At 37.3% G+C, this 14,856-nt stretch overlaps 1 long non-coding RNA gene across 1 annotated transcript; it reads right to left on the reverse strand.

The window, feature by feature from the left end:
• Positions 1 to 7,135: 7,135 nt before the first annotated feature.
• Positions 7,136 to 14,769, reverse strand: LOC107984824 (uncharacterized). The gene is made up of 3 exons (XR_001752330.1): positions 14,696 to 14,769; positions 13,801 to 14,002; positions 7,136 to 7,219 (listed from the first exon to the last, which is right to left on the reverse strand). It is a non-coding gene; the product is annotated as an uncharacterized LOC107984824 (long non-coding RNA).
• Positions 14,770 to 14,856: the final 87 nt, after the last annotated feature.

The raw sequence follows: 14,856 nt of genomic DNA on the forward strand, positions 1-14,856 counted from the left end.
GATTGTTATTGAATCTAGCATGTTATATTTATGTGGAGATAGAATTCCTTCCAAACTGTATGTATGCTCCAGGAGGATAGGAGATTTTGTTTTGTTCAGTCTAACATTTCAGCACCTAGAACAGTACCCAAATGCAGTTGTTGAATGAATGAATGAATGAATGAATGAATGAGTGAATGAGTGCTCTTGTAGTGGTTGACTAGTTTCTTTGTGCGTCCTTGACCTTTATATGCTAGCAGTTTGTGGTTATGATAATTTGCAGTGATAAAGACTGCTCAAAGGAGTTAGTGTTAATGTCTGGAGGTGTGACAACAACCAACACCATAGCTTCCCAAAGGGGCTACGATCTGTGTGATGATTCTAAACTGGGGATTGTTTTCCCCTGCTTAACACTGTCAGTGTTGAGAGCATGGTAACTTATGGGGGATGACAATGTCTTTTTCACTTTGGTAGGGGTGGCCAAATCACCATGGCGATTACTAAAATTATGACATGGCCTCATGAGGCATGTGAGCAGAGATTTCAAAATTGTCAGTCATGAGTGTTCCCACACATACAGAGTCCACAGTGAAACCAAGGGGTATTGTAAGTACTATGTCATCTATTAGAGTTACTAGAAAGACTAATGTCAAAAAAAGTAAACCACTAGGTTTAAGTGAACTCTTCTTCCCTTTGCTCAATTCATTGTGTTTCACATCTATACCTCTCAAGGGTGGGTAAAATCTTGTTCATGATTTCCCACTGCTTTAGAATCATATTCAAACTTCTTGGAATTGTATTTGAGCTACTTTCCATGTTCTACATGCTCTATTTATCCAATCTTATGATGCTCTCTCTCTTGCTGTTCTGCTTTAGCCCCATGGCTTTCTGACAATTTCTTAAGCATAGAAAATTCTGCCTAGGAATTTCTCTTGCTAGTCCTCATTTTGGAAGATATTCCATGTGCTGTTTTCCTGCCTGGCTCCTTCTCAATCCTCAGGGCCCCATTCAAATGCCAACTTCCTGAAGAAAGCTTCACCAACCAGCCTATCCAAAGGAGGTCCACCCCCTGCAATCATTCTGAACTGCACCTTCCTTGTTTCCTGTAGATCAAAAATTATCCTGATGTTGTTTGAATTATTTGTTCTCTTGTTACTTGCCTGCCACCTGCCCTCTCTTCCACCACTAAAATGTGACTTCCATGAGGGAAAAAACAAAAAATGCTTATGTACACTTTGTTGTGTTCAGGCTTTATGCTAGAGGGTTATGAATGTAATACTTGTTGAATAAAAATAAACCTAAGTAGACAAAAGGAAACTCCGTCTAGCAAATCTTGATGGCTTCGGGTATAGGAAATGACCACGCAGGATATGGTACATAAAGTTCTAAAAAGCTTTGCTCTGGAGCCCTGGTCCTAGTCTTTCCACATGAAATATTTCCTCAACTCAAATTTTGTAGAACTCCTTAAGGCTTTGGGGCTGTGAAGAGCCACACAAGGCTGAATGACTCCTCCTGAAGGAATCAGCTTATGATCTTTCAGGTATCTAACTATTTGATTAATAATAAATTTATGGTTTTCTCAAAATAAAACTTCTATTGTGAGAGTGAAAGAAACAATAAGGAAAGAAAGTCTATTTTTGTTTTATTTGAACTGGCAGCCCTCAAACTGAATTTTTTTCAAGGCATTAGTGCTGTCTTATTTTCAAGAGTGTTTGTAGGTATGTCTGAAATCAAAATGATGCAAATCATATTTTTTATTAATGTAAAGTGTAGAATTATTTATAGCTAAGATTTGAAACACACACACATAGATGTCTGTGTGATTATGTAGCAGCAGTGTGCCCTCCCTAAGATAAAAAACATAATTCTCTAGCACAGGGTTGGCAGATCACTGTCCATGTGTCAAATCCAGCGCAATACCTGTTTTCATGTGACCCATAAGTTTTGACTAGTGTTTACATTTTTTTTTTTTTGAGACTGAGTTTCACTCTTGTTGCCCAAGCTGGAGTGCAATGGTGTGGTCTCGGTTCACTGCAACCTCCGCCTCCCAGGTTCAAGCAATTCTCCTGCCTCAGCATCCAGAGTAGCTGGGATTACAGGCATGCGTCACCACACCCAGCTAATTTTGTATTTTTAGTAGAGACGGGGTTTCACCAAGTTGGTCAGGCTGTTCTCGAACTCCTGACCTCAGGTGATCCGCCTGCCTCAGCCTCTCAAAGTGCTGGGATTACAGGCATCAGCCACCTCGCCCAGCCATTGTTTACATTTTTAAATGTAAAACATAAACTCTAAAAGATACTGTTGGCGTTTCAGCAATAATAGTTGCTCAAAGAGTTGAGGGCATTGTCCATTGGCCCCCACAATATTTACTCTCTGGCACTTTACAGGACAAGTTTGTCAACTCCTGGTTGAAGACATAAACTTGTAGCACAGTGTGCCTGTTGGAAGTCCTGCTGGAAACCCTGTAATAATAGTCTATTGTTACAAAATATTCTTCACTATATAATTTAGGGAAATAGTATGTATACTATTCTATTGCTAAAGTCTCTAAATTATGCCTTTAATTTTCTGATTGCTAAGTAATAAAAACATCAATGATAACATAACAATAAACACTAATAATAATAAAAATATTTACTGAGTACATACTGTGTTCCAGGCACTATTCAATGAGTTTTTAAAAAATCAGCTGTTTCTTTGACATTTTCTTTACTTACTGTATTAGAAAGTGGATGCCACTATTAAGGCTACTCCAATCATTCTGATCAACTTCTAAGTAAAGTAAGGGCTCTGCCTGACACAAGCATTCCTAATATGCTGAAGGAATGTTACAGATGATGAGACAGCTCCAAAGATCCAGATGCCAGGGGTTAGAGAGCAGCAAGAGAAATATGTGTACTAAGGGACACACCTGTGCCATCTCTCACCATGCTATTATTTAGTTTCTTCATCAAGGTTTCTAAGAATGAGTACTTCAGGAACTTCCTTATGAGAATCCTCTACAAGTATAAGTCACCGTGAACTGTATTTCTGCTTTCAAGAGGAACATGAGGACTTGCATTGCTTTGGCGCCTTCTATATTCCCAGATCATGAACTAAGGATGTTCACTCTATAATCTCATTTACTGTTGAGTGCTGTAACATCTCCTACAATTGGTCCTCTTGGGTCCAAGGATATCTAATTACTAGCTTCTTCATAAAGGTCAACAAACTAATACAAACATTACATGGACTTAGTAGGTCACCCTCAAAGTTCTGAGTAGAACACATAGGAAGTGTTTTGTAAACCCTACAGATGAAATTAGAATAGGCTCCTGTTGATAAATTCAGTAAATCCTCATTCTTTGAGCATTTCCTAATAGCATTTTGAGATTATTTTCCCCATCCTGTGAGTCACCTGTCAAGACAAATAGAAATTCACTGCTTTTTCACAATTGAGGAAAGAGATGATGCATGCTATTTTTTTTATTTATTTTTCTGCCTAAGGAATAATGAATCAAACATTGGGTTAGTAATTGAACTTGAATCTTCTTGACCAGTACTCAATTTTCCTCCATGTCCTGAAAAACCTCACCAAACTGAAACATTTTAATATCAACAATAACCCGTCCTCAAAATTTAAAAGGAGATGTCTTTTTAATGCCTACCATGTCTGATAATGTCTTACTAAAAGCTTTGGAATAATTTTTCTTAATCTATACTTTATTTCACTGTTGATGCACATATGCTGGCGAGTATATAATGTGGAGAAAGGAAAAGCATTTTAGAAGCTCTTGGCAAGCCAGCAGGGAGCATGTGGATGCCCCCTAAATGAATCAGGGGAGTACTTCTGTCATGTACAGCATGAAGGTACAGAAGGACTAGTTAGTATGCTTAACATCACTGGTCTTTTCTACTATTGTTTGGTATTAAGAAATATATTAATATTAGGTAGACTTCATAATTGCATATTCCTGCTCCAATTTTGCCACATTGTATATTCCTGCTCCATTTCATTTATTCTACTTTTACATGTTTCATTTTACTACCTCCAAAAGAGAGTTGGTAATATTTTAGTTTCCAGGAATTCTTTACATTTTAATGTTTGAGGACATGTAGAGGATTCCTAGACTACTCTTCTTCCTCACCTTCCTGGTTCCATTTGACCAGTGAAGCCCAAATCCCCCTTTAAAGCCCAGACAAACATTCCCTTGAAGTGAACCTAACCTGAGATTGGGCTTGTTCTTCTTGTCCTGTCCTTGGCAATTTAGAGCTTTTTTTTCTTTTTTCTTTTTTTTTTGTTGAGTTAGAGTCTCGCTCTATTGCCCAGGCTGGAATGTAGTGGTGTGATCTCTGCTCACTGCAACCTCCGCCTCCGCCTCTCGGGTTCAAGGGATTCTCCAGTCTCAGCCTCCTGAGTAGCTGGGACCACAGGCGCCCGCCACCATGCCTGGCTAATTTTTTGTATTTTTAGTACAGACGGGGTTTCACCGTGTTAGCCAGGATGGTCTTGATCTCCTGACCTCGTGATCCACACGCCTCGGCCTCCCAAGGTCCTGGGATTACAGGCATGAGCCACCGCACCTGGCTGAGCTTTTGTTTTATTTTATTTATTTATTTTTTGAGACTGAGTCTCGCTCTGTCACCCAGGCTGGAGTGCAGTGGCATAATCTTGGCTCATTGCAACCTCCACCTCCTGGGTTCAAGTGATTTTCCTGCCTCAGCCTCCCAAGTAGCTGGGATTACAGGTGCGTGCCAACATACTTGGCTAATTTCTGTATTTTTACTAGAAATGAGGTTTCACCATGTTGGCCAGGCTGGTCTTGAACTCCTGACCTCGAGTGATTCGCCCTCTTCAGCCTCCCAAAGGCATGAGCCACGGTGCCCGGCCCACTTTAGAGCTTTTGATATCTTCCTGTACTGAAAACACAAACACATTGCACAATTGGACAATGGCTATTTATTTGTGCCTCTTGTTCTCCCATCATATTGTGAGTTGAGGCTTCTTCATCATTGTACCTTTAAAGCCAAACTCAATGCCTGGAAGAGAAGGCAACTATATAAATATTTGTTAAATGAATAATGAAAAATGAATAAATGAAAAACGATTTCCTTTTTAGATTTATCTCTGGCTACTATTCTATTTATGCAGTGAACTCTGCTAGCCCCAACTGAATAGACATTTCCCAAGTAGGTCAAGTCCTTTCAAACTTTCTTGGTATTCCTCTACATGACTGAATCTTACAGTCTTGTTTTCCTAGGAACTTTCTATTCCAAGCAACTTGCTTGCACATCATGACCTTTCCTGTGAAGTATGTTCAACATGCAAAGACTGAAATGATAACTCCCTCATGTCCTTCTCTCGCACTTTGTTCCTTTCTCTATCCTAGCAAGAACTCCTTTTAGTGGGAATAGGAGTTGTTAGCTTATTCTGCCTCCTCATGACATGGAAACCCTTTGATGGCAGGAATTATGCTTATTTAAAAAGTGCAGAATTGGTGTTATATAGTAGTCTATTTAATGTGGATTCTAGCAAAACTAACCTTTATTGGAATACCATATGCTGGAATACATCTTATTATTTCAATTTTCATTGATTTCTTTAAGGATTTGGGGAACAAATGGTTACAATGAATAGTAATTTTGCAGAATTCTAAGGATCTCACAAATATATCTTGCCTTTTTTTTTTTTTTTTTTTTTTTTTGTGACAGACTCTCTCTTTGTTGCCCAGGCAGGAGTGTAGTGGCACGATCTCTGCTCATGATCTCTGCTCACTGCAACCTCTGTCTCCAGGGTTCAAGCCATTCTCCTGCCTCAGCCTCCTGAGTAGCTGGGATTATAGGCGTCCAACGCCACACCTGACTAATTTTTGCATTTTTTGTAGAGTCGGAGTTTCACCATGCTGGCCAGGCTGCTCTTGAACTTCTGACCCCAAGTGATCCACTCACCTCAACTTCCCAAAGTGCTGGGATTACAGAGGTGAGCCACCACAGCTGGCCATTTCTTGCTTTATCATCTCCTTTTAAACTAACCCTTTTCCCAGGATACATTTAACCTCCTTTTACAAAATGGTGCAAGCGTTTGGTTCACTTGATCTGCCACTTTCATTTGTCTTTGATCACTTGGATTTCTCATTTTTGACAACTGTTTACAAATTCAAATGATAATATTTTTTGATAAGATGATAATTTACTATAAATGAAACATGGAGTTCAGCTAAAAAAAGTTATTTTCCATCAGGTGCAAACTATTTCAAGGAAGTGAACATTGCAATTCATTCTTAGACATCCAGTCAACTATTATTGTGGATAATTGTGCATAAAATGAGGCATTTTAAAGAAATTTGTTGTAGACACTAATTTTTAAATATTATTTAATCCTGTTCTTCTGTCAACTGACCTTACCTTTGTCTCCATCTATCTGTTTACTATGAGTGATAATGTATTAGTAAGATTTTTATTTACTAGGAATTCATTTTGAAGAAATAATATTACAATATGAAATGTGAACCAGGGGACTTTTTGATATCATTCTGCTAAATAAATTGAGGAGAAAAAATTTCAAGGAATAGTGAGGCCAATGCGGAACAGAGGTAGAAATAACATATAAAGAGACAACTAGTTCCCTCAAAGCTATTGTGGCACATCAAGAAAACCCCTTTTTAGCTCAAGCAATTTAAAGTTTAGTTTCTGTTACTGAAAGTAAGATTTCTAACTTAGAAAAAAATTCAAAGTCACATTCTGATATTTGAAGAAAATGAAGAGTTTGTATGAATATGCAGGGCATAATTTAGCTAGAACATTATCTCTCTTTCTTCTATTCTGCCTCATTTCAGGTGGCTGTGTCAGCTCATTATTTATAGAGTAATAACCTCCTACCAATGAAATACTTCAAGTCACTGACACCCACCTCCAGGGTTGTACCTTGAAATTAATCAATTAATCAATCTATAGAATAAGACATAGCTACAATATGCCCTACACAATGAGGAATGATTTTAGGAAGAAGGGATAGAATGACGTTATCAAAATTTGAATGTTGATACTTCATTGAAGTTACTGATGCTTTTTGTAAGAAAAGTAGCATGATGATGGTGTGTAGGTTGTAAATACCTTGCTTAGTGTATCTCTAAAACTCATGAAGTTTTCTGAAGCTAAGCAGATACATACTCATAGTTTCACATTCTGCAGTCCACTCTCCACTGTCTCTGATACGTATCACCATTTTTACAGGATCAAATATTTTGAGGACACATGTGTACTGTGAAGACAGTTTCATACTTTGTTAAATTCTCCATTGTTTCTCAACTCTTGTTTTTTTTGTATTGTATAATAAGTATTAATAACCTGAAGTAGTAGTTTAATATTAATCTTATTGATATTTATTAATTAACTTAGGGATTAATATTCTTATGTGTTCACTTAGTCACGTGTAATTGCACAGAAGCAATTGCTTACCAATAATATGAAACATTTATTGAAAGATTTTTGTATTTCAGGTAGTCTTGCAAGCACTGCTGGTATATTATTTTATGTAATCCTTACAACTCAGAATGAGGTAGGTACTTCTACTATCATCTTCATTTCACAAATTGGAAAAATAAAGCAAAAAGAGTTAAGCAACTTGTCTGAAGTAACATAGTAAGTGTCAGTCAGGATATAAACTAAGATATTATATCTGTAACCCTATACTCAGCACTTCTTATGTTAAAAAGGCCACTGGATTAGGAGGCCTGAGGTCAAGTCATTACCCAACCATACCATGTCATGGTGACTCTTAGCTTAGTTTCTGATCTGATGTGTTCACTAAGACATACCTTGTTGGGGTGTGGTGGTTAATGGCAGCTTTGCTTTTGCAGTCCACAGGAGTTGATCAATATGTTTTTATTGGATGTAAAATCTACATCAAAGGCTCGCAGCTTGAGGTTGCTGGTAAACTAGATCCAAATGTTTTATATATATATATATATATATAAAAGCATATATATATATATAAAAGCATATATATATATATATATGCTTTTTATGGATGGGTTGCCTGAGTTTGTAAAATATTATCTAAAGAATCCACAATACCAAAAAGATATAGATGAGGTGAATATCTAATTTACCTTCTAAATCAGGAGATCTTTGAGAAAGAAAAGAGGCATTATTAATAATTACATTGAGACAACACGTCCAAACCAGCTCCTTCTGAAAATAATATAAATACACATCTCTGAGTTTTAGTTCACTCTTATATACAAATGAAGAGATAAAGTTAAGTTTTCCCTAGGCATCCTTCCAGTTCTAGGATTATATGACTTTTCTCAGTTAAATTTAAATTCAACCAGCTCAATATGCCAGTCAGATCATTTAAGACTGCCTGTCGTTGTCATCTGTCATTTGAGAAGATAAACCACATTTACTGTTACAGTTAGCTAAGATATGATTATGAAAGCAAATGTGCAATGACAACAAAGAAAAAAATCAAAATGCAAATGCAAATATAAATGGATTTCAAGTTATTTTGTTATGTATCATTCAGGATGCCACATTTATCCACCTGCATAGAGAATTATGGAATGACGCACTGGTTTCTTCAAAGTCCTGAACATCAGCATCTTATATCAGAGTAGAAATGTTTAGATATTAACTAAGGTTTAGATTGGCAAGGCTTTTCATCTAACTCTGAGTGTGATATCATAACTCTACACTTGCTCTAAAGCCTTACAATAGCATCAACACACTTGGTGTGTTGTTTGCTAGCTCCAGTGGTCAACTATCTTTAATGACAAAATGGACCAAGTGTCCCAGCATTTTTGGCGCATTATAAGATGGTATTATTAGCATGTTGGACCACTGGCAAGTTTCTATTACTATCTATCTTGATCCAGGACCCATATCTTCTCTAAGTATACCTTAGGACTCTTTCAGAGCTTTGAGTTTATGATAAGCGTAAACACACAGACCAGTGTCTGGAACCAATAAGCTGTTAAAAAAATATTTGTTGGGTTGAAGGAAGAAAAAATTATAAAATTCCCAAAGAAAAGAAAACATAGAGAAGGAATAGCATTAACTACTCTTTTTGCTTGAGGTCGTATGCTATTTATGTCATTAAATATAATAAAATATTATAAGCTAATGGTTTGATTCAGTACATGTCTCCAGAAAGCCATGCTGCCTTCTTAAATTGTAGTAAGATAAACATAATATTAAATCGATCATTTTAACAATTTTAAAGTATACAATTCAATGGCATTAGGTACATTCACAGTGTTGTGCAACCATCACCACTATTTAGTTCCAGAACTTTTTAATTTCCCCAAATGGAAACCCTGCACCCATTAAGCACTCACTCCATATCTTCTCTTCTTGCTAGCTGCTAGCAGTCACAAATCTGTTTTCCATCTCTATCAATTTTTCTACCCTGGATATTTAGTATAAATGAAATAATATGTGGCCTTTTGTGTATGGCTTTTTTCACTTAGCGTAATGTTTTCAAGGTTCATCCATGTTGTAGCATGTATGAGTATTTTTATGACTAAATAATATTCCATTGTATGGATATACTACACTTGTTTACCTATTTATCATTTTATAGATATTTGGGTTGATTCTACCTTTTTGCTACTGCAAATAGTGTTGCTGTGACTATTTGTGTTTAAGTTTTTGTCTGAAGACTGTGTACTATTCTTTTGGGCATATACCCAGGAGTAGAATTGCTGGGTCATATGGTAATTCTGTATAAATTTTTGAGGAAGGAACTCCCATATGTTGCCTTTTTAACTAATTAAAACATGAACTATCTGACACATGCTGCAACCAACCCATCCATATTCATGCTCTTCCTCTCATAGTGTAGGGCTGCTATTAGGAAGCAGTTGCCCAATCGGGGATTGTATTTCGCAGTGCCCTGGCATTTAGGTGAGGCCACGTGACTAATTCTTGTGAGTAGAATCTGAGTAGAAGTACATGTGTAAGGCCAAGACTATGAGAAAATGAGAGTATTTTCTCCATCTCTGTTACCCTTTCTCTAGCTTGATGTAGATGAGTACATTGAAAGTTACATGTGGACAATGATAGAGCAGCCAGGCATGGGGACCTTGGTCCCAAAATTATTTCTGGAGGAATCTGTTCTTGATGAAAAATGCCATTTAAAATTTTTACATGAGTAATAAATACACTTTTAATATCTATGAGCTATGACATATACTGGGGTTTGTTTAATTCAACTGCTAGCTTTATCTTTTTTCTATACTTTAAGTTTTAGGGTACATGTGCACAACGTGCAGGTTAGTTACATATGTATACACGTGCCATGTTGGTGTGCTGCACCCATTAACTCGTCATTTAACATTAGGTATATCCCTAAGGCTATCCCTTCCCCCTCCCCCCACCCCATGACAGGCCCCAGTGTGTGATGTTCCCCTTCCTGTGTCCATGTGTTCTCACTGTTCAACTCCCACCTATGAGTGAGAACATGCGGTGTTTGGTTTTTTGTCCTTGTGATAGTTTGCTGAGAATAATGGTTTCCAGCTTCATCCATGTCCCTACAAAGAACATGAACTCATCATTTTTTTGGCTGCATAGTATTCCATGGTGTATATGTGCCACATTTTCTTAATCCAGTCTATCATTGTTGGACATTTGGGTTGGTTCCAAGTCTTTGCTATTGTGAATAGTGCCATAATAAACATACGTGGGCATGTGTCTTTATAGCAGCATGATTTTTAATCCTTTGGGTATATACCCAGTAATGGGATTGTTGGGTCAAACGGTATTTCTAGTTCTAGATCCCTGAGGGATCACCACACTGACTTCCACAATGGTTGAACTAGTTTACAGTCCCACCAACAGTGTAAAAGTGTTCCTATTTCTCCACATCCTCTCCAGCACCTGTTTTTTCCTGACTTTTTAATGATCATACCAGGAAGAAGTTGAATCTCTGAATAGACCAATAACAGGCTCTGAAATTGAGGCAATAATTAATAGCTTACCAACCAAAAGAAGTCCCGGACCAGATGGATTCACAGCCGAATTCTACCAGAGGTACAAGGAGGAGCTGGTACCATTACTTCTGAAACTATTCCAATGAATACAAAAAGAGGGAATCCTCCCTAACTCATTTTATGAGGCCAGCATCATCCTGATACCAAAGCCTGGCAGAGACACAACAAAAAAAGAGAATTTTAGACCAATATCCCTGATGAACATCGATGCAAAAATCCTCAGTAAAATACTGGCAAACCGAATCCAGCAGCACATCAAAAACTTATCCACCATGATCAAGTGGGCTTCATCCCTGGGATGCAAGGCTGGTTCAACATATGAAAATCAATAAACATAATCCAGCATATAAACAGAACCAATGACAAAAACCATATGATTATCTCAATAGATGCAAAAAAGGCCTTTGACAAAATTCAACAACCCTTCATGCTAAAAACTCTCAATAAATTAGGTATTGATGGGACATATCTCAAAATAATAAGAGCAATCTATGACAAACCCACAGCCAATATCATACTGAATGGGCAAAAACTGGAAGCATTCACTTTGAAAACTGGCACAAGACAGGGATGCCCTCTCTCACCACTCCTATTCAACATAGTGTTGGAAGTTCTGCCCAGGGCAATCAGGCAGGAGAAGGAAATAAAGGGTATTCAACTAGGAAAAGAGGAAGTCAAATTGTCCCTGTTTGCAGATGACATGATTGTATATCTAGAAAACCCCATCGTCTCAGCCCAAAATCTCCTTATGCTGATAGGCAACTTAAGCAAAGTCTCAGGATACAAAATCAATGTGCAAAAATCACAAGCATTCTTATACACCAATAACAGACAAACAGAGAGCCAAATCATGAGTGAACTCCCATTCACAATTGCATCAAAGGGAATAAAATACCTAGGAATCCAACTTACAAGGGACGTGAAGGACCTCTTCAAGGAGAACTACAAACCACTGCTTAATGAAATAAAAGAGGATACAAACAAATGGAAGAACATTCCATGCTCATGGGTAGGAAGAATCAATATCGTGAAAATGGCCTTACTGCCCAAGGTAATTTATAGATTCAATGCCATCCCCACCAAACTACCAATGACTTCCTTCACATAATTGGTAAAACTACTTTAAAGTTCATATGGAACCAAAAAAGAGCCCACATTGCCAAGTCAATCCTAAGCCAAAAGAAGAAAGCTGGAGGCATCACACTACCTGACTTCAAATTATACTACAAGGCTACAGTAACCAAAACAGCATGGTACTGGTACCAAAGTAGAGATATAGACCAATGGAACAGAACAGAGCCCTCAGAAATAATGCCACATATCTACAACCATCTGATCTTTGACAAACCTGAGAAAAACAAGCAATGGGGAAAGGATTCCCTATTTAATAAATGGTGCTGGGAAAACTGGCTAGCCATATGTGGAAAGCTGAAACTGTATCCCTTCCTTACACCTTATACAAAATTTAATTCAAGATGGATTAAAGACTTAAATATTAGACCTAAAACCATAAAAACCCTAGAAGAAAACCTAGGCAATACCATTCAGGACATAGGCATGGGCAAGGACTTCATGTCTAAAACACCAAAAGCAATGGCAACAAGAGACAAAATTGACAAATGGGATCTAATTAAACTAAAGAGCTTCTGCACAGCAAAAGAAACTACCATCAGAGTGAACAGGCAACCTACAAAATGGGAGAAAATTTCTGCAATCTACTCATCTGACAAAGGGCTAATATCCAGAATCTACAAAGAACTCAAACAAATTTACAAGAACAAAACAAACAACCCCATCAACAAGTGGACGAAGGATATGAACAGACACTTCTCAAAAGAAGACATTTATGCAGCCAACAGACACATGAAAAAATGCTCATCATCACTGGCCGTCAGAGAAATGCAAATCAAAACCACAATGAGATACCATCTCACACCAGTTAGCTTTATCTTAAATAACACAAACTATAATTTGAAAAAGATAAGGATACAAAGATGATAAGAGTCCTCTCACCTCCTTTCTGCCCTCAGCCTATCCTGCCTGCCTTCAATTGTTAAAGCTTTGCTGAGAAGCTGGAAGAAGAAGGTCAGGAAGCTCATCTAAACAGGGCTTTAAAGGGGTGCACAGGCTTTATTGTCAGACACAACTTGCATGGAAGTGAATTTGAAGCAAGTTATTATATCATGTGTATTAGTACAAAACCTCTTGATCTTTTTTTTCTGAAATTAAAGGCAGTAGGCTATTGCTGGATCTTGGATGGAGATTGATGTGGTTGAGAGGGTTGGGTTGTTGGGAGACAGGTGGACAGAGAGTGCATAGGGGTCACAGTATGGAGGGTTCTGGATACCACATGCAAAGTTAGCAGTTTTCCCTATACGTGATACTCGACCTCATTTATAGTTTTTAATAAATTTTAGAAGTGTTGCCCATTTTGGTGGCTAAGAAGTATTTCTACTGTGACAATAATGCTTTTGAAGGTTGGCTCTGAAACAGCATAAAGAAAGGCAGAAGCTACAGATTATTAGAACTGTGCAAGCTGGCCATGGTAATGTCCTAGTCCAAATTTAATTTTACTGGAAAGTCTTTCATAAATGATGAATGAACAAGGCTTCTACTACCAGTTCGTCTCCAATAAGCACTGAAACCACACACAGGAGAAGGTGAAGAACACATTTTCTGCAGAGACTGGTGATATTAAGCAAGAACCTGTCCTTTGTCTTGAGATATTTTTTTCTATCATTGTGTTGGACTGCAGAGATTTTGAATATCCTACTGTTTGTCACTCCAAAATAGGTCTTGTTGGGTGAGACTTTTTGACATCATAAGTAAAATATAGAAAATAATAAATTACCTGCTTTCATCCATAATTCTAAGCCAACATGCCTCTAGTCTTGAACTGGATTAGTTTAACTTGCCAAGCAAAAAGCATGCTGGTTGAAGCTCATTGCTCATCCAAAGCTCCCTTGAACTCGCTGTCATCTCTTAGGGATGCAGTCAGATTTGACTAAGATTTTGATCCTCTTCATAATTAATAGCAGACCATAATGTTGTTCCTATATTTACATATATTTAAAATATTTTGGTGTAATATAAATACTGTGTTCCTTATTGGTTTAGAGACAGAATATGATATTGATTTTTAAATAAATCCATAAAACTATTTTCCAACTGCAACCTTTATCAACTTTTATAACAATGGTTTAACTGTGTACCTTTCAATTATTATACTTCCAGTTGGACTTTATTAAGGCATTACTTGCTTTCCTTAATGAGACAACATGCAGTTTCCTTTTCTTTCTAATTTTTCTTTTTAAATGCATTCTTAAAAACACTATTTATTTTGCCTTAGAAACCATTTGTCCTTTATTTTTTCCAACAAAAATATTTGGGGTTTAATTAAAACTATCAAAAATGCCATTAAAAGATCATTAGTAAAAACACCTGCTGCCATTATTAGAAGCACTATTTTCCCTAGAGCCCAAAGGAAGCTTCAGCTTGCGCAAATGTGTATATCATGTACTTTATGGAATTGCACTGCTGGATTTCTGCCAGGGTTTGGAGATTTTTATCCATGCATCTCAGAAACTGCTCCACTTTATACAGCCTGAGAAAGTGCTATACCAAGTGAACAAAGTGCCTTACGATTTTGAATAAACTAATGGATCCAGGCTCCATTAGAACCTCACCTTCAATTTTAAATTGGAAGCAAGAGAAACTGGTAAAGTACAGGGAAAATCTTTACTCACCATTGCACTCCTGTCACATCAAAAGAATCCCAGATCTCTGCTGTCTGCAGCACATCTGTGATTTACCACTGGAAGGAGCTAGAGTAAAGAGATTGAAAGAGCACACCGTAACCAGGTATCAATGTGGTTAAAAATGACATAAAGGAAAATGATGAGCAAAA

The sequence above is a fragment of the Homo sapiens genome, chromosome 16 (assembly GCF_000001405.40).
Source record: "Homo sapiens chromosome 16, GRCh38.p14 Primary Assembly".
Classification (NCBI taxonomy): Eukaryota; Metazoa; Chordata; class Mammalia; order Primates; family Hominidae; genus Homo; species Homo sapiens.